The following is an 18,137-nucleotide window of genomic DNA, read 5'->3' as shown; positions in this document are numbered from 1 at the left end:
TGAGCTGCATTATAATGAATGCTGAAACAGAGCTTTCGGGATTGTTCCAAAACTTAAGGAAAGTTTTTAGGACTGGGCAAGAGGGTCAGTGTCCTGAGGTGGAATTTAAAGGAGTGTTTTTGACTGTGATAGTTTTAAAATTGCCTTTGTCACTTGCTATTGTTCTTTGATTGAAGGCTCATTTGTTATCAACTATTCATTGTTTTATTGTTGTTTGTTTTGTTTTTAATGTTTGCCTGAAGTCACTTTGTGAATATTTATTTATTAGACATACTGGTAAGGTAGGGTTGGTAGAAGAGTATAAATAACTACTGAATAAACAGAAGCACAAATGTTGGATAAAGCAATGAGTTCTTAAGTCAATACCCAACACATAGAAAAATGAAGCAGAAACTTTAATTCTCGGGAGATCTCACAATTTATATTTTAAATGATTCTTTTCAAGCAAGGTTGTTAGAAAAGACCTCTTAAATTTCACTACATGGAAAACATTACAGATAGTTTAAAAATAGAACTGGCATTCAGTGTCTCCATTGAAAAGGACTGCATAAACAATTGGGGTTTTGTGAACCTATACTCTCTAATACATTTATAAGTAGCCACATGTGGCTAATTAAATTTAAATTTAAATTAATTAAAAAATTAAATAAAATTTAGAATTTCATTCCTTAGTTGCACTAGCCACCTTTCAAGTGCTTAATAGCTACATGTGGCTAGTGGCTTTTGTATGGAACACTGAATATAATAGAACATGTCATTACAGAAAGTTCTATTGGACAGCACTGCACTGGACAATAATAGGTAAAGCCTCAACAGAGATTTTTTTGTTTCCTTTTGTTGTTTTGGGCTCTGGGTTTTAGTTACAATTTTAACATACTACTTGAAAGCAGAGACTATCTGTGTTAGAAGAACTAATGTGAGAATTTTGGTATTCATCTTGATATCTTACTGTTATGATATCTAACAGCTCACAAATCTATACATTATTCTAGTAACTTGTGAGCTGAAGAAATGCCTTGTAGATGAGCCAAACCATGATGAATGGCAAAAACAAAAACAAAAAAAAACAAAAAAACAAAAAACTTGCTTATTGCTTGGGCAGAAGAAAAAAAAATCTGAATTGGAATAGAAGTTTCTTTGCCCCTAATGAGTGTATAACCCAAGAACATTTTCAAAGCAGAAAACTCAGAATAATTTTTGTTTGTGTGATAAAGGAAAAGGCAAGACCAAGAAAAGGATCTGTAAGGAGCTGCAGTGACTTAAAGTAAATATTTCCAAATGAAGGGAAAATAAATACTTTTTTAAGTTCAATAAAGCTGTTTTATTATAAAAATAGTAAATGTCTATTACATCAAATTTATAAAATATAGAAATTATAGACAAGATAAAATTTACTTAGAATTTCATCAGTGAGCAGCCATCACTTTTAACAACTTTATGTATTTTCTAGTCTTTCAAAAGTATAATAATGTCGATGACCAAGAAAACATTGGCAGCTAAGTATGGCTTAGTATGGCTGTGTACTCCACATGCATTTTATCATTTGATATTTACAGCAACCCCAAGAAGTAGACATGACAGGTCTTCTACTCCTTTCCACATTCAAAAACTGAAAAAATCTGGAAGACTAGAGAAAAACTGCAAGTGTTTGGGTCAGGGCAATATCTGACCTGAAATGACATAAGGCTGTTTTTATTATGTATTTGTCTCATTAAGTATGAATATTAATATGTCCTGCTACAGAATGTAAGGTGTTTGATTATGGAGTGCTTCCTCAGATCCCACTGGGATGGTTACATAATACATATACCTTTTAAAAAATCAGAAAAATTTGAAACCCATCTGGCCTCAGGATTTTTGGATAAGAGATGTAAAACTGTATTATCTGACTTTTACTGAAGAGCAGTGGTTCCCAACCTTTTTGGCACCAGTTAGACCGGTTTTGTAGAAGCTAATTTTTCCATGGGGTGAGGCTGGTGGGTAGGGAATGCAGATGGGTTTTGAGATGAAACTGTTTTACCTCAGATCATCAGGCATTAGATTCTCATAAGGAGCACACAACCTAGATCTCTCACATGTGCAGTTCACAAGAGGGTTTGTGCTCCTATGAGAATGTAATGCTGCAGCTGATAAAACAGGAGGCGGAGCTCAGGCAGTAATGCTCACTGGCCTACCACTCACCTCCTGCAGTGCGGCCGGGTTCCTAACAGGCCACAGACTGGTTGGTCCACTGCCCAGGGCTTGGGGACCCCTGCTGAAGAGGACAAAGGACATTAAGTAACTTGTCCAAGTCCTCTTGGCTAGTAGAAAATAATCCAAGACTCAAATAGACCTGTTTGTCTCCAGTATTTGAGTACCTACTACATTGCTTCATTTAAGTAAAATTGCTAAATATTGAGGAACAGTAAATACATACTTGTCTATCTTATAAAGCCTAAGCAGAACTTTCAAGTATTAACTTGGTAAACATCAATCCCTTTCTTTACCATTAAGTGTAGTAATATTGAAGCATTGTTTATTAACAGTAAGACAATTCTAACTAATTAAACCTCTAAGCCTGAATTTAATTATTTAATGCCAAAACTGCAGTTAACTGTGCTTTAAGTAGAGGTAAACTTTAATGTACAGTGCAGTCATAAAGTCAGCTACTATCAACCATGCTGTACTAAAATAATACTCTGATGTAGTATCTATGTGATTTTTACTGAATCTTAGAAAGTTAAGTATCCAGATAAAAATTTTAAATGCAAATGCAAATATAGATACTTGACAAAAAGAAAGCAAATATTTGTAGTATTACTAATTATATTCAGTGTTTATATAAATAAAAGGTGGTGTTTTGCTTTGTGCCTTATAGGAGTACAAAAGATTTAATTAATATAAACAATAACTTTTTTGTACAACTCTGTATTTTCTATACTTACTGAGTCTTATGTGGTCATAATATATAACATATAATAATCAGCAGTAGAATTTCAGATTTCTTTGATACTTTGATCAGTTCATGGACCTCATGATTTAAATTGCTGTTCAGGATTGGCAGTCTGCTTTTTGGGTGGTCTGTCTCACTAGATACTCTCTGATGAGAGCAGCATTAAAAAGGAAATGGAAGGGGCTTCTGTGTATTGGTAAATTTTTTTATTTTTAACTTTTATAGATATGTAGTGGTTGTATATATTTATGGGGTACATATGATTTTTTTTTACAAGCATACAATGTGTAATGATCAAATCAGGGTAATTGGGATACCCATCATTCCAAGTATTTTTCATTGCTTTGTGTTAGGAACATCCCAATTTTACTCTTTTAGTTATTTTGAAATATACAATAAATTATTTCTAGCTATAGTTGCCCTATTGTGCTACTGAACGCTAGGTCTTAGAAGAAATAAGATAACTGTATTTTTGCACCTGTTAACCAATCCCTCTTTATTCCTTCCTCTTCACTGCTTTTCCTGCCTCTGGGAACCATCACTCTGCTATCTCCATGAATTCAATTTTTTATAGCCCCAACATGAGTCAGAAAACATGCAACATTTGTTGTTCTGCACTTGGCTTATTTCACTTATCATAATGTCTTCCATTTCTATCCATATTCTGCAAATCTATTCTTCCTCCTCAATTTTTCGGAATAGTTTGAGTAGGATGGGTCTTAGTTCTTTTCATGTTTGATAAAATTCATCAGTGAAGTCATCAGGTCCTGAGCTTTTCTGTGATGGGAGACATTGTCTTACAGCTTTGATCTCATTCTTTGTGTTTGGTCTATTCAGGTTTTTTATTTCTTCATGGTTTAATCTTGGTAGGTTGTATGTATCCAGGAATTAATCCATTTCTTCTAGGTTTTCCAATTTATTGGCATAGAGTTGCTTGTAATATCTCTAATAATCCTTCAGATTTCTGTGATTTCAGTGGTAATGTAACCTTTTTGTCTCTTATTTATTTTGGTCTTCTCTCTTTTTTTCTTAGTTTAGCTAAAGGTTTTGTTAATTTTGTTTATCTTCTCAAAAGAACCAACTTTTTGTTTTGTTGATCTTTTGTACTTTTTAGTCTCTATTTTATTTGTTTCTGCTTTGATCTTTATCTTTTCTTTTCCTCTATTAATTTTGTGTTTGGTGTGCTCTTGCTTTTTTAGTTCTTTACGATTCATTGTTAGGTTATTTATTTGAAGTTTTTCTCCTTGTTTGATTTAGGTGTTTATTGCTATAAACTTCCCTCTTAGTGGTGCTTTTGTTGTATGTCACAGGTACTGGTATGTTGTGTTTTCATTTTCATTTGTTTCAAGAAATTTTTCAGTTTCCTTCTTAATTTCTTCATTGACCCAGTGGTTGTTCGGGAGCATATTGTTTACTTTCCATGTGTTTGTCTAGTTTCCAAGTTCCTCTTTTTATTCATTTCTAGTTTTATTCCATTGTGGTCAGAAAAGATAATTCATATGATTTCATTTTTTTAAATTGTTTGAGATTTGTTTGTGGCCTACCACATGGTCTATTCTTCAAAATGTTCCATTGCTGAGGAGAAGAAGGTATGTTCTGCGGCTGTTGAATGAAATGTTCTGTAGATGTCTATTAGGTCCATTTGGTCTATAGTGCAGATTGATATTTCTTTGTTGGATTTCTGTCTGGATGATGTGTTCACTGCTGAAAGTAGGGTGTTGAAGTCACCAGCTATTATTGTATTGGGTCTCTCTCTCTCTTTAGCTCTAATAATATTTGCTTAATATAACTGGATGCTGCATTGAGTGCATATACATAGACAATTGCTGTATTCTCTTGCTGAATTGACTCCTTTATCCTTATATAATGACCTTCTTTGTCTCTTTCTACCATTTTTATCTTGAAATCTGTTTAACTGATAAAAGTATAGTTACTCCTGCTCTTTATTCATTTACATTTGCATAGAATATCTTTTTCCATCCCTTCATTTTCAGTCTATGTGTGTTTTTATAGGTGAATTGAGTTTTTTGTAGGCAGCATATTGTTGGGTCTTGTTTTAAAAAATCTACTTAGCCACTTTGTCTTTTGATTGGAGAATTTGGTCCGTTTACATTCAGTGTTATTATTTATAGGTAAGCACTTACTACTGCTTTTTTTATTATGTGTTTTCTGGTAGTTTTGTTGGTCCTGTCTTTTTTATTTTCTTTCTGTTTTCTTTTGTTTATAAGTAATTTTTCTCTCACAGTATCTTTTAATTTCTTGCTTTTTACTTTTTGTGTCTGTGTTATAGATTTTTGCTTTGTGTTTAGCATGAGGCTTGCAAATAACATCTTATAACCAATTATTTTAAAACGATGAAAACTTTAATCACAAAGAAAAAAACACGCAAGGAAAAAACTAAAAATCTCATGCTTTAAATTCATTCATTTCACATTTTGACTTTTTGTTGTCTCTATATCTTATTATATTGTCTATTATCAAATTGTTGTAGTTATTATTTTTATTAGATTTAATCTATTATTTTTAATAGATTTGTATATTCATTCTACTGAAGATATGAGTGGTTTACATTATTAGAGTATTCTGTATTTGTGTACTTACATTTACAACATTATTTGTTCTTCATGTTTGAAAGATAATTTTGCTGTATATAGTATTACAGGTTGAAATATTTTTTCCTTCAGCATTTTGAATATGTCATCCCACTCCCTCCTGGCCTGTAACGTTTTCATGGAGAAGTCTGCTGCCAGACATATCAGGGATCATTTATATGTTATTTGCCTCTTTTCTCTTGCTGTTTTTAGCATCCTTTCTTTTTCCTTGACCTTTGAGAGTTGGATTATTATATGTCTTGGAGTAGTCTTATTTAGGGTCAATCTGCTTGGTGTTCTTTGACCTTCTTCTACCTGGATATTAATATTTCTCTCTAGAATTGGAAAGTTCTTTATTATTATTTCTTTGAATAAACATTCTACCCTGATTTCTTTCTCTACAGCCTCTTAAGGCCGATAACTCTTAGATTTGATTTGCCCTTTTGAGGCTATTTTCTATGTCTTGTAGGCATACTTCATTCTTTTTTATTCTTTTTTATTTTTCCTTTTCTGGCTGTGTATTTTTATATACCTGTCTTCAAGCTCACTAATTCTTGCTTCTGCTGGATCAATTCTGCTGTTGAGAGACTGATACATTTTTCGGTTTGTCAATCAAATTTTTCAGCTCCAGAATTTTTGCTTGATTTTTAAAAGAATGTCAATCTCTTTGTTAAATTTCTCTAACAGAATTCTGAATTTCTTCTCAGGTGTTATGTTGAATTCATTGAGCTTCCTGAAGACAGCTGTTTTAAATTCCATGTCTGAGAGGTCACATATCTCCATCACTCCAGAATTGGTCACTGGTGCCTTATTTAGTCTGTTTGTTGATGTCATGTTTTCCTGGATGTTTCTGATGCTTTTGGACATTTATCCATGTCTGAGCATTAAAGATTTAGGTATTTATTCCATTCTTCACAGTCTGGACCTGTTTGTACTCATCCTTCTTGAGAGGGCTTTCCAGGAATTCAAAGGAGTTTTGCAACCTGTGTCTGTGCTCACTGCAGCCATTTCAGCACTAGGGGGGTGCCATAAGCCCAGCAATACTGCAACTGTTGCAGCCTTCTAGATAAATGACCCTGGCAGACTTGTGGAAATAAGGGAGAATTTCCTGGATTACCAGGCAAGTCGGTCACTTTCTACATGTCTTTACAACCTTCTTGATGATCTGTTTAGAAGCTATATTGTGAAAGAATATAATTTTTATTTGATGGTTTATTTTGCATTTTGATTATCTGTTATATTTCTCATTGAACAATAAATCACAAAATATTTTGCCAACATTTTTAACTTTAAGTAATATTTGTTGAGTGCATACCACAAATTAGGCATTATATGAGTGCCACAGAACAATAAGAAGCAAGATAGATTGCCCTGCTTCCTCAGAGTTTTCATCTAGTGGAGAAGACAATTATTAAAATATAATGTGATAAATGCTATGATAGGAGAAGATAGGGAACTATGGGAGTATATGTTAAAGACTTTAATCCATTCTAGGGACCTCAGGAGTGCTGATACCTGAAAGATGAGGAAAGGGGTTGTAGGGAGTAGAGAGCAGAAAATACATGTTCCTAGTAGAGGGAACAGCATGCACAGAGGCCCAGCCCAGAGAATAAGTTCATTGAACTTATAGGTGAGCCGGGGGGTGACCTAATCAGATCTGTATATTTGTTGACTCCTAAGCTCTGAAGACCAACTTCCAGGCTTTGAATCCTAGTTTACTTCTTTCTTGCTAAACGAACTTGGGAAAGTACTCTTCCTCTTCAAGCTTCAGTGACTTGATTTAAAAAGAAAGAGAGGCTGGGCATGGTGGCTCATGCCTGTAATCCCAGCATTTTGGGAGTCTGAGGAGAGAGGACTACTTGAGCTAAGAAGTTTGCAACCAACCTGGGTAATGTAGCAAGACCTTGTCTCTACTAACAAAAAAACAAACAAACAAACAAACAAAAAGCCAGGTGTGGTGTTGCCTGCCTGTGTTTCCAGCTACTCAGAAGGCTGAGGCAGTAGGATATTTTGAGCCCAGGAGTTTGAGGTTGCAGTGAGCTATGATTGTGCCACTATACTCCAGCCTGGGCAACAAAGCAAGACCCTGTCTCAGAGATTAAAAAAAAGAAGAAGAAGAAAGGAAAGAGGAATATAGTGCCTTCTTCTCAGGGTATTTTTAATATTAAATGTGATCAAGCTTATAAAGAATCAAGCACAGAGTAAGCGTTGCTGAAAACCTAGCTATTATTAACTTAGAAGGCCCATTCTGGCTGGAGGTGGAAAAGTGGATTGGAGCAGGGCTAGACTGGAGTTTGGAGACTAGGAAGTTGGTACACTGATTCAGAGGAAAAACAACAGTGGCTTAGAGTAAGGTAATGGCAGTGAGAATAAGGAGAAGCAAATATATATTCAAAATTTATTTAAGAGATAGAGAGTCTTTGGTAAGTTGATTAGATGTAGCAGGTGAGAGGGAGAGGAGTTAAGGATGATGCCTAGGTTCCTGGTTTTGGACTATTAGGTGGGTACAGAAGAACAGGTTAGAAATCCAAATCCAACTTGGTAATGTACAGTTGTGAAAATTCAGCTCTGTGGCTGTGGATGAGTCATTACTAGGTAGTCAGTGCAGAGTGGGACTGGAAACACTTCTAACTTTCTGACCAGCATCTTTCCACCAAGATACACAAACTCTAATAGCAAATACCATGTCTAAGGAAATCAAATTATAATAGAAGTACATCATTGGATGGATTACCATAGGATACTCAATATATATTCAATAATGGAAATTCTTCTGATTATGTCATATCTATAATCAATTTAGCTGTTAAATCAGGAGTGCCTCACATACTCACTAGGAGGATTGTTCACTTTTTTAAAAGGCATGATATACTTACTTCTCAAATTAATCTTCATAGTCAAGCCAAATATAAGATTTATTAAATGATCTAGATGCTGTTGGGTATGAGCAGAAAGCAATATTACTGTCACCCCTTAACACCCCTTTACACTTCCTCTGTGAATCCATTTCTTCTCCTTCTTTGATAAAATATTAGAATAAACCCATAGTTTTTCCAGTCATTTTCAGGTAATAAAAAATTCAGTACACTAGAAAAAAACATAGGTGAACATCTTAAGTCACAAAAACGTAACTATATATGAAAAGATTGATTAATTGGATTTCATTAAAATTAAAAACATCTATTTATTGAAAGCCACCATTAAGAGAATAAAAGGCAAGCCATACAATCCAAGAAGTTATTTAGAATACACACATCCTTTGTCAGATATCCAGCAAGCACTTCTACCCAAACTATGTAAATAACTCTTACAAATCAATAAAAATAGGTGACACAATAAAAAGTGGGCAAGGATTTGAATAGGTACTTCATAATGGATAATATCCAAATCTCCAATAAGCATATTAAAAGGGGCTCAACACCATAAGTCACCAGGAAAATGCAAATTAAAGCCACAATAAGACTGCCACACATGTATCAAAATGACTAAACTTTTAGAAGATTGTCACTAACAAGTATTAAAGCAGATGTCTAGTAACTGGAATTCTAATACATTGCTGGTAGGAGTGAATGGTAAATGGTTCAAGTACTTTGGGAAATTGTTTGGCTGCATCTACTAATGTTAAACATATGCCTACCCTATCACTTAGGAGTTCTACTCTCAGGTGTTGTATCCAACAGAATGAATGCAAATGTTCATCAAAAGACATCTTCAGGAATGTTTTTAGCAACTTTTTTATGTGTGTAAACCAAAATGAAAAAAAAATTCAAATGTCCATCATCAGGAGAATGGATAAATAAATCGTGGGATATTCATACATTACAACAAAATATGAATGGAAAAGCTGAGCTACTGCTCCACACAAAAATATGATTAACTATCACAGATATATTAATAATACTAAGTAAAAGAAGGCAGGCATTAAGAGAGTTCTTATGCATGATTTCATGTATATGAAACTCAAATAAGAAAAATTAACCTGTGGTGACAAAAGTCCAAATAATGGTACCTTTGGCAAAGTGAGTATTGACTTGGAGAGATTTTCCTGAAGTACTAGAAAATGTTTTATATTTGGATTTGGGTGATGGTTACCCAGGTATTTGTATGTATGTATAAGACATATATGTAAAATTTTATACTATATTATACTTCAATAAACAAAAAAGCCTAGTCTAGTCTAATGCCAAAACTTCAGTTTCTAATCCAGCTAAAAGTTTTTCCTCTTTCTTTCCCTCCCACATCAACTCACAATCAATAATCTGCAGCAGGGAAAGGAGAATTATAAGTTTCTTCCCTCATCCTTGGTCTACCTCCTCCCCATTCTTGTAGCACTATTTTGTCCCATGTAGAATCAGATACATGGGGGAAAGAGGGATTAGAGAAGAATTAGAAAAGTGTCATGTGTCTCGAGTTGTAATCTATCTTTGATGTCCTCTGAGTGTGGCATATCTTCAAAAGCTAGCTCTTTTTTTTTTTTTGTGGGGGTGCTTCTGTGGGTTTTTCAGTGATCGTGCTTCATTAGGAGCATCCTAATACAATATTAGGCATGAACAATGATCCTCTAAGAACTCTAGTCACAGCTCTTGACTCCTATTGATCTCCTCTCTAATGGGAGTTCTGTCAGGATGACTCAAGTCCTTTTCTCTTTTTCGGGTTACTTGACCTGTAGGAAAACTGCCACATCTTTGCCTGGCCAAGGAAGAACTTGCAGCTCTTCTCCCCTTCCAGCCTCTCAGCTTCAAGACTCTCCTGGAGGGAATCATGCCTCACTTCCGGGTACTCTTTCCTTTTTCCCCAAATTCCAGGGGACATATTCTTCAAGTGATTCTCTGAAGCTCCCCTCACTTACCTTGGGTAGAAACAACCGTGGAGAGGGAATTGAATTTCCATAGTTTAATGATAGCTCTCATCAAATAAGTTGCGCTTACCAATCTTACTTCTACCTTTCACGTATTGCTTCAAAGTAGATAACGGACTTATGGTAGAGCATGGTTGTTGTTTTAAGGTAGACGATGAGTAGTTCCTGCCTAGAAAGGGAAGTAATCATTTTATTTGCTTTGCCTTTTTTGCCAGTTGCTTGAGGCATTCCTGAATGGAAAGAAGCTTTCTGTAGTATTAAGTGCTGCAGGGTTTTTTTGTTCCTTAAGTATTCCACTCAAAAATATTTTAGCTGGAAAATGAAGATTGGGAAATATAGATTTTATCATGCACATATATACACACACATTCCCGTGTGCAAAAATTATTGGAACTTCCTGGTAACTCTGTAAGTCTCTTGTTTCCACTTAAAAATAAGGAATAAATGTTACCTGCTTTACATTATTGCCATGAAAATAAAATAGAAATGAATTATGCACATACAGAAATATACATGTGCAAATGTACACATGCACATACATACGTATGTTACATATACTACTCAGAACAAAGTAAATGCCTAACAAGTGTTAGTTTCTTTCTTTTTTCTTCATGGGTGACGTACCTCTCCTCCTCTTTCATTGAGCAAAGCAGCTTTCTTTACTTACAGGCTTTGGGTAGAGCAGAGAGGAATAGGGCTATAGGATTCATTATAAAGATGTGTTGTTTCCTTGCAAGTTTATTCCTTGGAAACTTTCAATAAAGGTATACTGTATTTGAAATTAATCCAGGTATAGTATTATAAATTAAGCATAGGACTAGAGTTAGTAAGACCTGGATTAAAACTCCAGCTCCACAACTTCTAGCCATTTGTTGATTCAACAAGTTTATTGAAGGCTTGTTTTGTGCCAAGCACTGTTGTAGACATTGAGAATGCAGGGGGAAGAAGACAAAAAAAAATCCCTTGTAGAGCTTAGTTGGGGGATAGAGGTAAGAGAACACTTGTGTAAATAGACAAAAGCAAATAAGTATAATATCAAGTGGTGTGAACAAAAATAAAGCAAGATAACAGCAAGAAGAAGTAGAGGAGAGAAGATGGGGAGTGTGTGTGTGTGTGTGTCTGTCTGTTGTAGATGGGACAGTTGTGGAAGCCTTATAAGAGACTTGAGTAAGTGAGGGAGGAAGATCTAGGGGAAGAAGGTAAAAGAGTAGAATGCAATATTCCAGAATCAAATGAACTAAGTGTTTCAGGAAGGAAACTGTCAAATGCAATTGAGTGACAAAGTTACACGAGGATCTCTCAGTAGTCATATGACCCTTGGACAAGTTATTTACCTTTTGGAACAATAGTTAGTAATATATTGGATTAAGGATTAAGTGATTATGTAAAACACCTTTCACATAGTAAACAGGAAACTGAAATTTTTCTTCACATTTCATGTGCGTAATAAATGTAAAGTTATAAACTCATAGTAAAAGATTTTTAAATGGTCTCAACTCAGTTTCTCCCTGAATTTACAAAATCTTTAAGTAAGTATGCATGAGAGCCAAAATATGAAAGTCAATAAATCAAATAATAATAGTTGTCGAATTGTAGCTTTTTCTTTTTAAAAGACTATATATATGTATATATATATATATATTTTTTTTTTTTTATTATACTTTAAGTTTTAGGGTACATGTGCACATTGTGCAGGTTAGTTACATATGTATACATGTGCCATGCTGGTGCGCTGCACCCACTAACGCGTCATCTAGCATTAGGTATGTCTCCCAGTGCTATCCCTCCCCCCTCCCCCCACCCCACCACAGTCCCCAGAGTGTGATATTCCCCTTCCTGTGTCCATGTGATCTCATTGTTCAATTCCTACCTATGAGTGAGAATATGCGGTGTTTGGTTTTTTGTTCTTGCGATAGTTTACTGAGAATGATGGTTTCCAATTTCATCCATGTCCCTACAAAGGACATGAACTCATCATTTTTTATGGCTGCATGGTATTCCATGGTGTATATGTGCCACATTTTCTTAATCCAGTCTATCATTGTTAGACATTTGCGTTGGTTCCAAGTCTTTGCTATTGTGAATAATGCCACAATAAACATACGTGTGCATGTGTCTTTATAGCAGCATGATTTATAGTCATTTGGGTATATACCCAGTAATGGGATGGCTGGGTCAAATGGTATTTCTAGTTCTAGATCCCTGAGGAATCGCCACACTGACTTCCACAATGGTTGAACTAGTTTACAGTCCCACCAACAGTGTAAACGTGTTCCTATTTCTCCACATCCTCTCCAGTACCTGTTGTTTCCTGACTTTTTAATGATTGCCATTCTAACTGGTGTGAGATGATATCTCATAGTGGTTTTGATTTGCATTTCTCTGATGGCCAGTGATGATGAGCATTTTTCCATGTATTTTTTGGCTGCATAAATGTCTTCTTTTGAGAAGTGTCTGTTCATGTCCTTTGCCCACTTTTTGATGGGGTTGATTGTTTTTTTCTTGTAAATTTGTTTGAGTTCATTGTAGATTCTGGATATTAGCCCTTTGTCAGATGAGTAGGTTGCGAAAATTTTCTCCCATGTTGTAGGTTGCCTGTTCACTCTGATGGTAGTTTCTTTTGCTTTGCAGAAGCTCTTTAGTTTAATTAGATCCCATTTGTCAATTTTGGCTTTTGTTGCCATTGCTTTTGGTGTTTTGGACATGAAGTCCTTGCCCACGCCTATGTCCTGAATGGTAATGCCTAGGTTTTCTTCTAGGGTTTTTATGGTTTTAGGTCTAACGTTTAAATCTTTAATCCATCTTGAATTGATTTTTGTATAAGGTGTAAGGAAGGGATCCAGTTTCAGCTTTCTACATATGGCTAGGCAGTTTTCCCAGCACCATTTATTAAATAGGGAATCCTTTCCCCATTGCTTGTTTTTCTCAGGTTTGTCAAAGATCAGATAGTTGTAGATATGCGGCATTATTTCTGAGGGCTCTGTTCTGTTCCATTGATCTATATCTCTGTTTTGGTACAGTACCATGCTGTTTTGGTTACTGTAGCCTTGTAGTATAGTTTGAAGTCAGGTAGTGTGATGCCTCCAGCTTTGTTCTTTTGGCTTAGGATTGACTTGGCGATGCGGGCTCTTTTTTGGTTCCATATGAACTTTAAAGTAGTTTTTTCCAATTCTGTGAAGAAAGTCATTGGTAGCTTGATGGGGATGGCATTGAATCTGTAAATTACCTTGGGCAATATGGCCATTTTCACGATATTGATTCTTCCTACCCATTAGCATGGAATGTTCTTCCATTTGTTTGTGTCCTCTTTTATTTCCTTGAGCAGTGGTTTGTAATTCTCCTTGAAGAGGTCCTTCACATCCCTTGTAAGTTGGATTCCTAGTTATTTTATTCTGTTTGAAGCAATTGTGAATGGGAGTTCACTCATGATTTGGCTCTCTGTTTGTCTGTTGTTGGTGTATAAGAATGCTTGTGATTTTTGTACATTGATTTTGTATCCTGAGACTTTGCTGAAGTTGCTTATCAGCTTAAGGAGATTTTGGGCGGAGATGATGGGGTTTTCTAAATAAACAATCATGTCGTCTGCAAACAGGGACAATTTGACTTCCTCTTTTCCTAATTGAATACCCTTTATTTCCTTCTCCTGCCTGATTGCCCTGGCCAGAACTTCCAACACTATGTTGAATAGGAGTGGTGAAAGAGGGCATCCCTGTCTTGTGCCAGTTTTCAAAGGGAATGCTTCCAGTTTTTGCCCATTCAGTATGATATTGGCTGTGGGTTTGTCATAGATAGCTCTTATTTTTTTGAAATACGTCCCATCAATACCTAATTTATTGAGAGTTTTTAGCATGAAGGGTTGTTGAATTTTGTCAAAGGCTTTTTCTGCATCTATTGAGATAATCATGTGGTTTTTGTCTTTGGCTCTGTTTATATGCTGGATTACATTTATTGATTTGTGTATATTGAACCAGCCTTGCATCCCAGGGATGAAGCCCACTTGATCATGGTGGATAAGCTTTTTGATGTGCTGCTGGATTCAGTTTGCCAGTATTTTATTGAGGATTTTTGCATCAATGTTCATCAAGGATATTGGTCTAAAATTCTCTTTTTTGGTTGTGTCTCTGCCCGGCTTTGGTATCAGAATGATGCTGGCCTCATAAAATGAGTTAGGGAGGATTCCCTCTTTTTCTATTGATTGGAATAGTTTCAGAAGGAATGGTACCAGTTCCTCCTTGTACCTCTGGTAGAATTTGGCTGTGAATCCATCTGGTCCTGGAATCTTTTTGGTTGGTAAACTATTGATTATTGCCACAATTTCAGAGCCTGTTATTGGTCTATTCAGAGATTCAACTTCTTCCTGGTTTAGTCTTGGGAGAGTGTATGTGTCGAGGAATGTATCCATTTCTTCTAGATTTTCTAGTTTATTTGCGTAGAGGTGTTTGTAGTATTCTCTGATGGTAGTTTGTATTTCTGTGGGATCGGTGGTGATATCCCCTTTATCATTTTTTATTGTGTCTATTTGATTCTTCTCTCTTTTTTTCTTTATTAGTCTTGCTAGCGGTCTATCAATTTTGTTGATCCTTTCAAAAAACCAGCTCCTGGATTCATTGATTTTTTGAAGGGTTTTTTGTTTCTCTATTTCCTTCAGTTCTCCTCTGATTTTAGTTATTTCTTGCCTTCTGCTAGCTTTTGAATGTGTTTGCTCTTGCTTTTCTAGTTCTTTTAATTGTGATGTTAGGGTGTCAATTTTGGATCTTTCCTGCTTTCTCTTGTAGGCATTTAGTGCTATAAATTTCCCTCTATACACTGCTTTGAATGCGTCCCAGAGATTCTGGTATGTGGTGTCTTTGTTCTCATTGGTTTCAAAGAACATCTTTATTTCTGCCTTCATTTCGTTATGTACCCAGTAGTCATTCAGGAGCAGGTTGTTCAGTTTCCATGTAGTTGAGCGGCTTTGAGTGAGATTCTTAATCCTGAGTTCTAGTTTGATTGCACTGTGGTCTGAGAGATAGTTTGTTATAATTTCTGTTCTTTTACATTTGCTGAGGAGAGCTTTACTTCCAAGTATGTGGTCAATTTTGGAATAGGTGTGGTGTGGTGCTGAAAAAAATGTATATTCTGTTGATTTGGGGTGGAGAGTTCTGTAGATGTCTATGAGGTCCTCTTGGTGCAGAGCTGAGTTCAATTCCTGGGTATCCTTGTTGACTTTCTGTCTCGTTGATCTGTCTAATGTTGACAGTGGGGTGTTAAAGTCTCCCATTATTAATGTGTGGGAGTCTAAGTCTCTTTGTAGGTCACTCAGGACTTGCTTTATGAATCTGGGTGCTCCTGTATTGGGTGCATAAATATTTAGGATAGTTAGCTCCTCTTGTTGAATTGATCCCTTTACCATTATGTAATGGCCTTCTTTGTCTCTTTTGATCTTTGTTGGTTTAAAGTCTGTTTTATCAGAGACTAGGATTGCAACCCCTGCCTTTTTTTGTTTTCCATTGGCTTGGTAGATCTTCCTCCATCCTTTTATTCTGAGCCTATGTGTGTCTCTGCACGTGAGATGGGTTTCCTGAATACAGCACACTGATGGGTCTTGACTCTTTATCCAACTTGCCAGTCTGTGTCTTTTAATTGGAGAATTTAGTCCATTTATATTTAAAGTTAATATTGTTATGTGTGAATTTGATCCTGTCATTATGATGTTAGCTGGTGATTTTGCTTGTTAGTTGATGCAGTTTCTTCCTAGTCTCGATGGTCTTTACATTTTGGCATGATTTTGCAGCGGCTGGTACTGGTTGTTCCTTTCCATGTTTAGCGCTTCCTTCAGGAGCTCTTTTAGGGCAGGCCTGGTGGTGACAAAATCTCTCAGCATTTGCTTGTCTATAAAGTATTTTATTTCTCCTTCACTTATGAAGCTTAGTTTGGCTGGATATGAAATTCTGGGTTGAAAATTCTTTTCTTTAAGAATGTTGAATATTGGCCCCCACTCTCTTCTGGCTTGTAGGGTTTCTGCCAAGAGATCCGCTGTTAGTCTGATGGGCTTCCCTTTGAGGGTAACCCGACCTTCCTCTCTGGCTGCCCTTAACATTTTTTCCTTCATTTCAAGTTTGGTGAATCTGACAATTATGTGTCTTGGAGTTGCTCTTCTCGAGGAGTATCTTTGTGGCATTCTCTGTATTTCCTGAATCTGAACGTTGGCCTGCCTTGCTAGATTGGGGAAGTTCTCCTGGATAATATCCTGCAGAGTGTTTTCCAACTTGGTTCCATTCTCCACATCACTTTCAGGTACACCAATCAGACGTAGATTGGTGTACCTTTTCACATAGTCCCATATTTCTTGGAGGCTTTGCTCATTTCTTTTTATTCTTTTTTCTCTAAACTTCCCTTCTCGCTTCATTTCATTCATTTCATCTTCCATTGCTGATACCCTTTCTTCCAGTTGATCGTATCAGCTCCTGAGGCTTCTGCATTCTTCACGTAGTTCTCGAGCCTTGGTTTTCAGCTCCATCAGCTCCTTTAAGCACTTGTCTGTATTGGTTATTCTAGTTATACATTCTTCTAAATTTTTTTCAAAGTTTTCAACTTCTTTGCCTTTGGTTTGAATGTCCTCCTGTAGCTCAGAGTAATTTGATCATCTGAAGCCTTCTTCTCTCAGCTCGTCAAAATCATTCTCCATCCAGCTTTGTTCCGTTGCTGGTGAGGAACTGCGTTCCTTTGAAGGAGGAGAGGCGCTCTGCGTTTTAGAGTTTCCAGTTTTTCTGTTCTGTTTTTTCCCCATCTTTGTGGTTTTATCTACTTTTGGTCTTTGATGATGGTGATGTACAGATGGGTTTTTGGTGTGGATGTCCTTTCTGTTTGTTAGTTTTCCTTCTAACAGACAGGACCCTCAGCTGCAGGTCTGTTGGAATACCCTGCCGTGTGAGGTGTCAGTGTGCCCCTGCTGGGGGGTGCCTCCCAGTTAGGCTGCTCGGGGGTCAGGGGTCAGGGAACCACTTGAGGAGGCAGTCTGCCAGTTCTCAGATCTCCAGCTGCGTGCTGGGAGAACCACTGCTCTCTTCAAAGCTGTCAGACAGGGACACTTAAGTCTGCAGAGGTTACTGCTGTCTTTTTGTTTGTCTGTGCCCTGCCCCCAGAGGTGGAGCCTACAGAAGCAGGCAGGCCTCCTTGAGCTGTGGTGGGCTCCACCCAGTTCGAGCTTCCCGGCTGCTTTGTTTACCTAAGCAAGCCTGGGCAATGGCGGGCGCCCCTCCCCCAGCCTCGCTGCCGCCTTACAGTTTGATCTCAGACTGCTGTGCTAGCAATCAGCGAGATTCCGTGGGCGTAGGACCCTCTGAGCCAGGTGTGGGATATAGTCTCGTGGTGCGCCGTTTTTTAAGCCGTTCTGAAAAGCGCAATATTCGGGTGGGAGTGACCCGATTTTCCAGGTGCGTCTGTCACCCCTTTCTTTGACTCAGAAAGGGAACTCCCTGACCCCTTGCGCTTCCCAGGTGAGGCAATGCCTCGCCCTGCTTCGGCTAGCGCACGGTGCGCGCACCCACTGGCCTGCGCCCACTGTCTGGCACTCCCTAGTGAGATGAACCCGGTACCTCAGATGGAAATGCAGAAATCACCCGTCTTCTGCGTCGCTCACGCTGGGAGCTGTAGACGGGAGCTGTTCCTATTCGGCCATCTTGGCTCCTCCCCCTATATATATATTTTTTTTTAATTTCAACTTTTATTTTAGATTTGTGGGGGTACATGTACAGGACTGTTACTAGGGTATATG

At 37.0% G+C, this 18,137-nt stretch overlaps 1 protein-coding gene across 11 annotated transcripts in view, besides 6 other annotated features; it reads left to right on the top strand.

Moving 5' to 3' along the window:
• The window catches only part of SLC10A7 (solute carrier family 10 member 7), a 267,960-nt gene that overhangs the window by 153,866 nt on the left and 95,957 nt on the right, over positions 1–18,137 (top strand). The gene's annotated exons all lie outside the window — the stretch shown is intronic.
• Positions 17,199–17,785: an enhancer, noted in NCBI's record as "NANOG-H3K27ac-H3K4me1 hESC enhancer chr4:147271442-147272028 (GRCh37/hg19 assembly coordinates)". NCBI's record gives its function as "activates a minimal SCP1, AML or CMV promoter by ChIP-STARR-seq in naive H9 embryonic stem cells {active_cell/tissue: H9 hESC(naive)}" and the evidence as "EXISTENCE:reporter gene assay evidence [ECO:0000049][PMID:30033119]".
• Positions 17,490–17,539: an enhancer, noted in NCBI's record as "active region_21991". NCBI's record gives its function as "activates an Ori minimal core promoter by ATAC-STARR-seq in GM12878 lymphoblastoid cells {active_cell/tissue: GM12878}" and the evidence as "EXISTENCE:reporter gene assay evidence [ECO:0000049][PMID:35858748]".
• Positions 17,590–17,649: an enhancer, noted in NCBI's record as "active region_21990". NCBI's record gives its function as "activates an Ori minimal core promoter by ATAC-STARR-seq in GM12878 lymphoblastoid cells {active_cell/tissue: GM12878}" and the evidence as "EXISTENCE:reporter gene assay evidence [ECO:0000049][PMID:35858748]".
• Positions 17,660–17,709: an enhancer, noted in NCBI's record as "active region_21989". NCBI's record gives its function as "activates an Ori minimal core promoter by ATAC-STARR-seq in GM12878 lymphoblastoid cells {active_cell/tissue: GM12878}" and the evidence as "EXISTENCE:reporter gene assay evidence [ECO:0000049][PMID:35858748]".
• Positions 17,950–18,009: an enhancer, noted in NCBI's record as "active region_21988". NCBI's record gives its function as "activates an Ori minimal core promoter by ATAC-STARR-seq in GM12878 lymphoblastoid cells {active_cell/tissue: GM12878}" and the evidence as "EXISTENCE:reporter gene assay evidence [ECO:0000049][PMID:35858748]".
• Positions 18,020–18,069: an enhancer, noted in NCBI's record as "active region_21987". NCBI's record gives its function as "activates an Ori minimal core promoter by ATAC-STARR-seq in GM12878 lymphoblastoid cells {active_cell/tissue: GM12878}" and the evidence as "EXISTENCE:reporter gene assay evidence [ECO:0000049][PMID:35858748]".

The sequence above is a fragment of the Homo sapiens genome, chromosome 4 (assembly GCF_000001405.40).
Source record: "Homo sapiens chromosome 4, GRCh38.p14 Primary Assembly".
Taxonomy (NCBI): domain Eukaryota; kingdom Metazoa; phylum Chordata; class Mammalia; order Primates; family Hominidae; genus Homo; species Homo sapiens.
Note: the sequence above shows the minus strand (reverse complement) of the source record. Positions and strands in the feature narration are given on the sequence as shown.